At 37.3% G+C, this 13,196-nt stretch overlaps 1 protein-coding gene across 19 annotated transcripts in view; it reads left to right on the top strand.

Annotated features, from left to right (window-relative positions):
• Positions 1-13,196, top strand: part of FOCAD (focadhesin) — a 340,326-nt gene that overhangs the window by 271,835 nt on the left and 55,295 nt on the right. For all 19 annotated transcript variants that reach the window (XM_047423537.1, XM_047423539.1, NM_017794.5 and 16 more), the window contains 2 exons: positions 1,899-2,137; positions 5,555-5,644. In XM_047423537.1, the coding sequence (XP_047279493.1) occupies positions 1,899-2,137; positions 5,555-5,644 (329 nt within the window). The remainder of the gene's footprint in view (positions 1-1,898; positions 2,138-5,554; positions 5,645-13,196) is intronic.

The raw sequence follows: 13,196 nt of genomic DNA on the forward strand, positions 1-13,196 counted from the left end.
TATACTTTATGTAAAAAGTTTTGAAAACTGTTAAATACTCTATAAATACAAAGTAATGTTGTTGATCATTTAAAAAAAAAAGCCACCTGTTACCCATCCTCTGTCTTCATGCTTGTATTCTAAGATTTGAAGCAAAATGAGAAAACACTTTTTTGTTTTGGTTTCCTTTTCCTTTTATTGGTCGTAGTACATGCTTTATTTCTGTGTCTTTGTAGAAGTATTTTGGTCCTACCCTATTACTATCCATTGCCTAGGGAATTATAATGGTCATGGGACAATCAGCTGAGTGGCAGAGGATTATAGTTAATTTTAATAAAAATATAACACAGATTCTGAACTGTTGCTAAGATCATGAATTTAGCTTAAAACCTTAATGCCGAAGGTCTTCTCTGTGTATTTTGTGTGCCTCTGTCCTGCCCTTGGGAAGATCTGGTATGTATTCATCAGGGGCTTTGGGTTTAGAGCTAGATTTTTAACCATAGTTGAGGTAAAAAAAAAAAAAATGACTTACCAGATGATGTAGAATTAAATTGGAAGATAAATTTTGCTCAAAAAGTTAATTGCTCTATGATGATTTACTTTCTGTCAGAAGTGTTCTTATTTCTTTAATGATGAATGAAAACTTTAGATGCTTATGGAGGTCTTTGCAATAACTATCTAGTTCAGGTATTCACCAGAGCAGGACACTGTATGAAATTTCTCATATGCTGCTTAGTTCTTGCAAACCAATAAAAATAATCTCTTTACTAGTCAGCTCTGATTGTCTCTTACCTTTGTGAGGTTTTGCATTACCATACTTTTCAAAGCCCTGTTTTAAAAGTCACTTTATTTCATGTGTGCTACCAGCTGGATCATTTTGAGTAACATTATCATTAAAACAGTGCTATATTAATTTAAAGTGTAACTTAGTACGTTTGATTTTTATCCTTAAAGTACTAAAGCTTAGAGAGCGAATGGGCCTAGAATTAAAAACATATTTTAATGTGCTTTAACTGCAAGGGACAACACTGCCCTTATGGTGTGTCTGAAACTTTAAATTGGATAATAGTGAGGAATGATAAACGGGCTTTCTTTCCCACTTGAGACATATTTATAAATGTATATAACGTCTGGTAGAGCTCTCTAACCTGGGATTCTTATAGAAGCTGTTCATATTCAGCTGCTCTGTCATTTTATTAGGGCTGTTATTCATTTCTTTTCCCATAATTACATGTAGGAAGGGGCATATAGAGCTCTCCATTTCATTTTGAATAGCTGGTTATTGCTTTGTAACCAAAGGCTTTTAGGATTTCAACTTCCTTTTTAATTAAAAGGAATTAACCCCCTGTAGGAAATAATCCATCTACTGGGAAGTGTTCCCACCAAAAATTTTGGGAGATGTGCCAATAGATCCCTGTGCTAAATTTATACTTGCTTCTCCATACTAAACTTAAACTCTCTTCCTCCCTTTTCCTTTCTTCCCTGGAAAACTCCTAGCTTTCTGGACATTTATAATGTGGCTTGCTGGTTTGTCCAAGCTCAGATAGCTTCAGTTTTTTTTTTGTTTGTTTTTCTGTTTTTTTGTTTTTTTAATATATATACATGTGGGCTTTTAGGAACACTGAAATTGTTTCAAGCCTTATAGTGAGGGAATTTATAACCTTTAAAAGGAAGACGCTTGTAATTTGGTTTTTCAGATTTAAAAGGATATTATTAATTATTTAGTAGCAAAACATTTCATTAATAATGAAAACATAATCTATAGACAAAAACGTTTGGATTTTTAAAAAATGTATTATTTTGGGTGTCGGCCGGGGTGGATCTAAGAGAAGCTTGTGTGGTTGTATAGTGCTTTTATGATAGGTATGCTTCCTTCATGTTTAAGGCTAACCCTGTTTTCTTTCTTTGGCATGTCCTAGAAGTCCTATTCTGGTGAAAACACAGCTAGTGCCATTGCCCGTTCTGCTGCCGCCACGGCTTTGTCTCTCCTTGTGCCAGTTTTCATTATCTCTTGCAAAGAGAAGGTTGAGGAAATCCTGAACATGCTGACTGCCAGGTTACCTGGGAAACCAAGTGCTGATGAGTCTCAAGCCGTGCAAATCCACATGGGCCTTGCTTTAGGGATGTTTCTCTCTCGCTTGTGTGAAGAGAAACTCAGGTACAGTTTATTAAAATATTCCTGCTTTTCTTCTTTGTGATTTTTTGCAAAGGATTTTGCACCCATATGCACCTATATATAAACATTGTATCTGAGCAATATGTGTTTGCTAAACTTTCTGAGATGGGCAAGTTGATCCTTTATTCTTCTTTAGGAGTAAATTTATCTATCTAAAATACCATCGTGTAGGTATTAATGTATTTTAAGGGTTGCTAGTATTAAAGTGTTTGGTTACTTGAAAATCATTTCATGCTTAGATGAAAGCCCCAGGTACCTATGTGTGGTGGACATGAGAAAAGTCAAGTTATGGTGCTATAAGTAAAAAGCTTCTTTTTTCTGGTTTGTATGGGATGAAAATAACTGCCAATCTTTTGTTGATATCATTGAAAATGAGAGGAGAGGATTGGCATATCTCTAGTGCCTAAGGGGTGTTGGGAATCACTGAATTACCTGAGAACTACATGTACCCGGCTTTAAATATTGCTTTTTTTCCTGTGCCCTGGCCACATTTTTATAATCCTTAAAGAGTCTTAATCTGTGCATATTATACTGTGTGCTTTGTTCACTTTGATTGCTCATTTTTGGACTGCTAACTTTATTTACCCTTGAATGGAGCTAATGGAATAGACTCAGGTGGAAAATTCCACTAAATCGGAAAGGTTTTTTTAGTGCATCAGTCTGCTTTAGTTTTGTTGTTCATACTGCTTATTATTTATTTTCTAGCAATTCTTAGAATTTTATATATCTACATTGATTGTAGTGGGCTACAATATGAATACTTGCTTATCATGAATATTTTGATGTCAATGACTAGGCATTTAGCCCTGTTTTCCTACTTTGGAAATATGATAGTAGGGAGAGGCATTCTGTTGTGATATTAGATTCTTTTAAATTCCTGGTTGGCAGAAATTAGTTGTCCAAAGGCAAGAACTGGTGTTGGTGTGGATAAACTGGATGACACTATGCTATATTTATTTCAGTTTGAGACCACTGATTAAGTTCTTCACAAACACAAGTATGTGAAACTTTTATGTGAATTGCTATTGATTTTGGGGAATACCATATTTCAGATGATCATTTTCAGCTCTTAGAAACATCTGTCAGATGATTGGGATTATTCTCTTAGTCTTTGAGACCATAAGTGCAATATGGCCAGAATATTCATTTCGTCCTGTTCACCATCACTAATAAATATAGGTCTTGTTCTGGAGATGAATAAAAAACTGCCCTTTGCATGTGATTTGACTGTTACATATCTTGTGTGTGTGACAGAACACAAACTATTTTTAAAGACTTAAAACTTGAAAGTGATTTTTTCCCTTTGCTACTATGCTACAAATGACAGTCTCTCCACCATCTGTGTTCATGCTCTTTCTTTGGTATCTTTTCAAGCAACATGTTTTGCAACTAAAAATGAGCCGTAGCAGTTTAATTCTAGGCAACTCATTTCATCCTATTCTGGCTCTGACTCCTTTCTTCACTAACTTAGGAGGAGATGCTGCTGCTTTTAGGCTGACAAGCTTGCATTTGTGGTTAACTTAATCATGCTGCCTGGAGAAACCTATGATGATTCCCCCAGAACACTTGACCCTGCTTCCTAGGTTGTCTTCCATTCCTGTCTGTCTGACTTGAATTCACACCTGAAGGAAACCCTGGGCAAAGACATCAGGAAGCTCCTTCCTTAGCTGAGCACCCACAGAATAACTACAGATTTTAACTTTGCCCTAACGTTCCTGTGTTTGATAGCATCCTCCTTCTACTTAGGGCCTGTGTGTTAGTAATGCCATTACTAACATAACTATTCATGGCTCCCACCTTCCCAATTTGTTGGAATTGAGGAATCTCAAATATTTGCCTTTTGATACTAATAAATTTTTTACCAGGTAGTAACAATGCTAACAGAGAATTTCATCTTTGGAGAAAGTTTAAATTTTTTTCTAAAAGCAAGTGTTTTGAGAGCTGTTGATTTTGACTAGTCAGTGACATCAAATGTGTCCCAATGTGGTCCTTTAATGGGAACAGAATTAGGACAATATGTTGTTTTTCAGAGACTAAGAAATCACCATGTAGAAGAGAATTATGAATCACATCTGTAATTGCAGCATTTTGGGAGGCCAAGGCGGGCAGATCATGTAAGCCCAGGAGTTTGAGACCAGCCAGGCATGGTGGCAGATGCCTGTAGTCCCAGCTACTCGGGAAGCTGAGGCTTGAGAATTGCTTGAGCCCAGGAGGCTGAGGTTGCAGTGAGCTGATGTTGTGCCACTGCACTCCAGCCCAGCCTGGGTGAGAATGCAAGACTCTATCTCAAAAAAAAAAAAAAAAAGGGGGGGAGAATTATGAAAATCATTTCAATTTTTGCTAAGGCTTATGAAAAAGTCTCCTGAATTTAAGTTCCATCTAAAATTTATTCAGAAGCTGTGGAATGTTGTTCCACAGCTTCTTGCTTCTGTCATAACCCCCAGAAAATACAAAAATGATCTCTTTAACATTTGTTTAGGATATTTAAGTATATTTTACTCCAAAGGACAACTTTTATAGGATTTATTTAGTTAAAGCTATTAAGTCTGTGTGTGTGATATGAGGGGTGTGCGTGTGGGCATTTGTTTTTCATTGCAAAAATTCCTTCACCTTGGGCAAAACTGCTATAGTCTTGGTTTGGGAAAATGTTTAAAAAAGTGCTCTCTGCCTGGTTGTCATTCCTGGAGTTACATTCCACTTACCATGATCTGAAGTAGCAATATGAGAGTTAAGACGTAGGAACCTGTAGCTACTAAAATGTCAGTGATGAAGCCCACAAATCTGCCTGGAGGGACAACCATAGAACCTTTTAAGTTTTATTTTACTATGCAAGTCATACTTCTCACCCAGGCATTTATAAAATCATCAATTGCTGTATAAATGTAAACAAATATAGGTCTAGGATTTTCTCCCCTTAAAAAAAAGTAAGTAAAGGAATAGAATTTATAACCTCCACAACTGAGACATGAAATCAGAAGTGACAGTCTTTGCAAGAAAGATTTGGAATGATTATTGATAATGTCAGGTTAATACGTTAAGTATTCTGAAGAAAATCACTTAAGCATCCTTAGAAATATATATTTGGAATTCCGAGTTTCTTTTTTATTTTTCAATGGCTTAAAATTTGAACAGGCTAAGAAAAATCAAAAATAGGAGATTTTGTGTTTATTGGTTTGCAAGTGATTATACTGCTCAGAAATCCAATTATTGAATAATTGGTCAGACTTAGTTTCTGTAACTACCAAATAAGAATAGGCAACTCATCAATATTGTCACTTTTTTTTTTAAGAGAAATGCTGGTATTTCCAGTAAAATATTGAGAGTATAATATTGTATTCAGTATTTTGGATAGTTGACTAATTTTAAATAATTCATTGTTTCCCCTTGATCTTTAACCAGTGATATATCTGGCCAAGAGATGAACCTTCTTCTGATGAAGTCGTTGGATGCCCTGGAAAATTGCTGCTTTGACACTAGTCTTGAATACAAGTATGTTGTTCCTATTTCCACTCTCACAGGTACTTAGACATTGCTCCCTACACTGCCATAAGTCTTGCATGCTATGGAGAAATATTTTTTATTTTTATTTTTTATTTCCATAGGTTATTGGGGAACAGGTGGTGTTTGGTTACATGAGTAAGTTCTTTAGTGGTGATTTGTGAGATTTTGGTGCCCCCATCACCCAAGCAGTATACACTGCACACAATTTGTCATCTTTTGTCCCTCACCCTCTTCCCACGCTTTCTCCCTGAATCCCCAAAGTCCAGTGTGTGATTCTTAAGCCTTTGTATCCTCATAGCTTAGCTCCCACTTATGAGTGAGAATATATGACGTTTGGTTTTTCCATTCCTGAGTTACTTCACTTAGAATAATAGTCTCCAGTCTCATCCAGATTGCTGTGAATGCCATTAGTTCATTCCTTTTTATGGCTGAGTAGTATTCCATCGTGTGTGTGTATGTGTGTGTGTGTGTGTATCACAGTTTCTTTATCCACTCATTGATTGATGGGTATTTGAGTTGGTTCCACGTTTTTGCAATTGTGAATTGTGCTGCTATAAACATGCATGTGAAAGTACTTTTTTGTATAATGACTTCTTTTCCTGTGAGTACATACCCAGTAGTGGGATTGCTGGATCAAATGGTGGTTCTACTTTTAGTTGTTTAAGGAATCTCCACACTGTTTTCCATAGTGATTGTACTAGTTTACACTCCCACTAGCAGTGTAGAAGTGTTCTCTGTTCACCGCGTCCACACCAACATCTATTTTTTTTTTATTATGGCCATTCTTGCGGGAGTGAGGTGGTATTGCATTGTGGTTTTGATTTGCATTTCTCTGATCATTAGTGATGTTGAGCATTTTTTTATACATTTGTTGGTCATTTGTATATCTTCTTTTGAGAATTGTCTATTCATGTCCTTAGCCCACTTTTGGTGGGATTGTTTGTTTTTGTCTTGCTAATTTGTTTGAGTTTGTTGTAGATTCTGGATATTAGTCCTTTGTCAGTTGTATATAGATTGTGAAGATTTTCGCCCACTCTGTGGGTTGTCTGTTTACTCTGCTGACTGTTGCTTTTGCCATGCAAAAGCTCTTTCGTTTAATTAAGTCCAAGCTATTTATCGTTTTTAACTGCATTTGCTTTTTGGTTCTTCATCATGAAATCCTTGTCTAAGCCAATGTCTAGAAGGGTTTTTCCAGTGTTATTTTTAGAATTTTTATAGTTTTAGGTCTTAGATTTAAGTCCTTGAGCCATCTTGAGTTGATTTTTGGATAAGGTGAGAGCTGAGGATCCTTCTGTACAGTTTTATTCTCTTACATGTAGCTTGCCAATTAAGCTTACATGTATCTTACCAGTTACCCCCAGCACCATTTGTTGAGTAGGGTGTCCTTTACCCACTTGATGTTTTTTTTTCTTTGATTTGTTGAAGATCCGTTGGCTGTATTTGGGTTTATTTCTGGGTTATCTATTCTGTTCCGTTGTTCTATGTGCCTAGTTTTATACCAGTACCATGCTGTTTTGGTGAATGTGGCCTTATAGTATAGTTTGAAATCAGGTAATGTGATGCCTCCAGATTTGTTCTTTTTGCCTAGTCTTGCTTTGGCTATGTGGACTTCTTCAGAAAGCTCCCAGAATTGATAACAGAATTCAGCAAAGTTTCTGGACACAAAATTAATGTACCCACATCAGTAGCTCTTCTATATACCAACAGTGACCAAGCTGAGAATCAAATCAAGAACCCCACCCCTTTTTTTTACAATAGCTGCAAAAAAAAATAATAAGATACTTAGGAATATACCTAACCAAGGAGGTGAAAGACCTCTGCAAGGAAAACTACAAAACACTGCTGAAAGAAATCATAGATGACACAAATGGAAACACATCCCATGCTCATAGATGGGTAGAATCAATATTGTGATAATTACCATAGTGTCAAAAGCAGTCTACACATTCAGTGCAGTTCTCATCAAAATACTACCATCATTCTACACAGAACTAGATAAAACAATCTTAAAATTCATATGGAGAAATATTTGTAGAATGTGATTTTGAATTCCTTTGCAGAGAGTTTTCAGTAATAATTAATCAAAAAACTTATTATTAAAGCTTTCTTGTTCTGAAAACCAGGTTTCAGCAATAGACAAATTATTTAAATTCAAAGCAACAACTATCATCTTGCAGCTTACACCTTATATTACTAAGACCTTAGTTTTGACTTACGTTTATCATACAAGGCACATGTATGGGGACATGGATGCATGACTTAATCTTTTTTTAAAGTATTTATTTTTATTTATGTATTTATTTAGACATAATCTCACTCTTATTGCCTAGGCTGGAGTGCAATGGTGGAATCTTGGCTCACTGCAACCTCCGCCTCCCGAGTTCAAGTGATTCTCCTGCCTCAGCCTCCCAAATTGCTGGCATTACAGGCATACATCACCACGCCCAGCTAATTTTGTATTTTTAGTAGAGATGGGGTTTCACCAATTGGTCAGGCTGGTCTCAAACTCCTGACCTCATGTGATCCACCTGCTTCTGCCTCCCAAAGTGCTGGGATTACAGGCGTGAGCCACCCTGCCCAGCCGACTTAATCTTTTTAAAGATTTGTTGAGGCCATTTGAATTTGATTGGGCTAAGAGGGCCTTTGACCGATGATTTATGTTTCCCTGTGAAATCATGTGCCTAAGAAGTAGAAATGGAAGCAAACAGGTTATATCAGGGATTACCAACCTGCTTAGCATTAAGAACCTTTCCCTTCCCCATGCTAACCCCATGGTTTTTAAGTTTTGTCTATTAAACTAAATGCTTTAAAATTATTTTCTCATTTCATTAATGAAAGATAAAAATGAAAAATAATCAAAAAAAGAATTAAACACACTCATTTTATGAGATATTTAATGTTTCAGTTAGTCTGTGTGACTTGTGTAGGTGAATATATGGTATGGTTTTGTTAGGCTTTCGGAAATACTGACATTTTTGAGGGAGCAACATCGTAGTTTTTTAGACTTCCATGCGTTTTGGAACGTCAGGCATGAATCCTCTGGTGTTCATTGTTACTAGGAATTAACAGATTATAAGCACTAACTTCCAGTTTATTGACTCATTTACCCTTTGATATTATGGGCACTGCTCAAATATGCATTAAATCAGTGTTTACATTTCTGGCCTTTAGGAACTTATGATTTACAGCTACATTCATACTTTCTATCTTGTTAGTTTCAGACTAACAAAAGGGTAAATGATATGGTAGTGGTAGCTGCATGTGTAAAGGGTTTCATCAGGAATAAATAAAGTAAAATGTCCATTTAATAGGTGGTAGTTATGGGATCTTCTTTCAGATGCAGGCTGAGATTGGAGAGGAACTAGTGCCACTCACCTGGTTTCTCAAGAAACACTTTTGGGGTCAAGTGACTTCTTAAGAGTGTGGTTTGAGGCCGGGCGCGGTGGCTCACGCCTGTAATCCCAGGACTTTGGGAGGCCGAGGCAGGTGGATCACGAGGTCAGGAGATCGAGACTGTCCTGGTTAACACGGTGAAACCCTGTCTCTACTAAAAATACAAAAAAAACAGGGATGCCCTCTCTCACCACCCCGATTCAACATAGTGTTGGAAGTTCTGACCAGGGCAATCAGGCAGGAGAAGGAAACAAAATTAGGAAAAGAGGAAATCAAATTGTCCCTGTTTGTAGATGGCATGATTGTATATCTAGAAAACCCCATCGTGTCAGCCCAAAATCTCCTTAAGCTCATAGGCAACTTCAGCAAAGTCTCAGAATACAAAATCAATGTGCAAAAATCACAAACATTTTTATACATCAATAACAGACAAACAAAGAGCCAAATCATGAGTGAACTCCCATTCACAATTGCTTCAAAGAGAATAAAATACCTAGGAATCCAACTTACAAGGGATGTGAAGGACCTCTTCAAGGAGAACTACAAACCACTGCTCAATGAAATAAAAGAGGATACAAACAAATGGAAGAACATTCCATGCTCATGGGTAGGAAGAATCAATATCGTGAAAATGGCCATACTGCCCAAGGTAATTTACAGATTCAATGCCATCCCCATCAAGCTACCAATGACTTTCTTCACAGAATTGGAAAAAACTACTTTAAAGTTCATATGGAACCAAAAAAGAGCCCACATTGCCAAGTCAATCCTAAGCCAAAAGAACAAAGCTGGAGGCATCACGCTACCTGACTTCAAACTATACTACAAGGCTACAGTAACCAAAACAGCATGGTACTGGTACCAAAACAGAGATATAGACCAATGGAGCAGAACAGAGCTCTCAGAAATAATGCCACATATCTACAACCATCTGATCTTTGACAAAGCTGACAAAAACAAGCAATGGGGAAAGGATTCCCTATTTAATAAATGGTGCTGGGAAAACTGGCTAGCCATATGTAGAAAGCTGAAACTGGATCCCTTCCTTACACCTTATACAAAAATTAATTCAAGATGGATTAAAGACTTACATGTTAGACCTAAAACCATAAAAACCCTAGACGAAAACCTAGACAATACCATTCAGGACATAGGCATGGGCAAGGACTGCATGTCTAAAACACCAAAAGCAATGTCAAGAAAGGCCAAAATTGACAAATGGGATCTAATTAAACTAAAGAGCTTCTGCACAGCAAAAGAAACTACCATCAGAGTGAACAGGCAACCTACAGAATGGGAGAGAATTTTTGCAATCTACTCATCTGACAAAAGGCTAATATCCAGAATCTACAATGAACTCAAACAAATTCACAAGAAAAAAACAGACAACCCCATCAACAAGTGGGCAAAGGATATGAACAGACACTTCTCAAAAGAAGACATTTATGCAGCCAAAAGACACATGAAAAAATGCTCATCATCACTGGCCATCAGAGAAATGCAAATCAAAACCACAATGAGATACCATCTCACACCAGTTAGAATGGCAATCATTAAAAAGTCAGGAAACAACAGGTGCTAGAGAGGATGTGGAGAAATAGGAACACTTTTACACTGTTGGTGGGACCGTAAACTAGTTCAACCGTTGTGGAAGTCAGTGTGGCGATTCCTCAGGGATCTGGAACTAGAAATACCATTTGACCCAGCCATTCCATTACTGGGTATATACCCAAAGGTTTATAAATCATGCTGCTATAAAGACACATGCACACGTATGTTTATTGCGGCACTATTCACAATAGCAAAGACTTGGAACCAACCCAAATGTCCAACAATGATAGACTGGATTAAGAAAATGTGGCACATATACACCATGGAATACTATGCAGCCATAAAAAAGGATGAGTTCATATCCTTTGTAGGGACATGGATGAAGCTGGAAACCATCATTCTCAGCAAACTGTCGCAAGGACAAAAACCAAACACCACATGTTCTCACTCATAGGTGGGAATTGAACAATGAGAACACATGGACACAGGAAGCGGAACATCACACACGGGGGCCTGTTGTGGGGTGGGGGGAGTGGGGAGGGATAGCATTAGGGGATATACCTAATGTTAAATGACAAGTTAATGGGTACAGCACACCAATATGGCACCTGTATACATATGTAGCTAACCTGCACATTGTGCACATGTACCCTAAAACTTATAATAAAGAAAAGAAAAGAAAGATTGTAGATATATTAAAAAAAGATTATCTTACCAATTTTTAAGAATTCATTATATATTATGTACATGAACTTTAGTCTACCATATTTATTACAAATATTTTTCTCAGTCATTTTGCTGATTTACTTTTTAAAAAGAATATAAATGTATTATTACCACTGAACTGTACCCTTAAAAATGATAAAGATGGTACTTTTATATGTATATTTTACCTTAATAAAAATTAAATTAAAAATTGAAAAAAAAATACAGAAAAAAAATTAGCAGGGCGTGGTTGCAGGCGCCTGTAGTCCCAGCTACTCAGGAGGCTGAGGCAGTAGTATGGTGTGAACCCGGGAGGCGGAGCTTGCAGTGAGCCGAGATCGTGCCACTGCACTCCAGCCTGGGCGACAGAGCGAGACTCTCTTCTCAAAAAAAAAAAAAAAAAGAGTGTGGTTTGAATATGAGTAAAGAAAGAGTTTGATGGCATGGTTGAAGTATCTTGAAAATAGAAAATGATTAATGAGAAAAATAGGGAAATTTAGCTGTTATTTGAATCCAATGAAGAGTTGAGATTTTGAACCTAATCCATGCATTTATATTGCCTTTTACAACCTAGGAATAAGATATTTTCATGTCTCTTTCCATCCCTCCTGCCTCCTCTTACCACCCAAAGATGTTCATTGTAGCTTAGCTCAAGATGTTATAAAGTTGGGAAAAAATGTGAGATTAAGATGCCGCCAACTTTAGCCAGTGGCACAGTCAGGAGTGACTTTCAGGCATTGTCTCCATCAGTTTTCAGGAAGGTTGTTTAAATGCGGGGAGTACCATGGGGATGAATTACCCACCATACAGATACTGAGGTGTTTAAAAATTTCGTATGTCCAAGCATATTTAACTTTAAAATTTATTTTTGTTACTAATAAGTTTCTTATTTCTTCATTCTTACCTTCTTTGTTGATTCTTACCTTCTTTTATTTTATTTTTTTTTGTTTTTATTTTTTATTTTTTAAATTTATTTTATTTTTTTTCTTTCTTTTTTTTAAATTATACTTTAAGTTCTAGGGTACATGTGCACAACGCGCAGGTTTGTTGCATATGTATACATGTGCCATGTTGGTGTGCTGCACCCATTAACTCGTCATTTACATTAGGCGTATCTCCTAATGCTATCCCTCCCCCCTCCCTCCACCCCACGACAGGCCCCAGTGTGTGATGTTCCCCACCCTGTGTCCAAGTGTTCTCATTGTTCAGTTCCCACCTATGAGTGAGAACATGCGTCCAAGTGTTCTCATTGTTCAATTCCCACCTATGACTGAGAACATGCTGCGTTTGGTTTTCTATCCTTTTTAATGAACAACTATATTGAGAGAGAGACGGGTAGGCCTGGACTTCCTGTCCAGTTAGTGGACACTTGCCTGTCTGTTAGAGCCCAATTAAAAGCTCAGGCCCTTCAAGAAGTCCTTCTTCCATCCTCTCCAAACTTTTAGTTCTACGGTTAATGAAGTTTAGTGCTTCATCATTACTAATGCTCTCTAGGTGTCAGTCCTTGTGCAGTTCTCCCTTTTTTTTTTTTTTTTTTGAGATAGGATATCACTCTGTTGCTCAGGCTGGAGTGCAGTGATACCACAATCATGGCTTACTGCAAGTTCGACCTCCTGGGCTCAAGCAATCCTCCTGCCTCAGCCTCAAGTAGCTGGTACTACAGGCATATGCAACCATGCTTGACTAATTTTTTTATTTTTTGTAGAGACAGGGTCTTACTGTGTTGCCTAGGCCGGTGTTGAACTCCTGGCCTCGAGTAATCCTCCCAACCCTGGCCTCCCAAAGTAATGGGATTACAGATGTGAGCCACTGCACCCAGCATAGTTCTCTTTTTGGCTTCAGGTTCAACTGATACTTACTGAGCAGCTGCATACTGAGCTAGGCATTTTCA

This window comes from Homo sapiens, chromosome 9, assembly GCF_000001405.40.
Source record: "Homo sapiens chromosome 9, GRCh38.p14 Primary Assembly".
In the NCBI taxonomy this organism is placed as follows: Eukaryota; Metazoa; Chordata; class Mammalia; order Primates; family Hominidae; genus Homo; species Homo sapiens.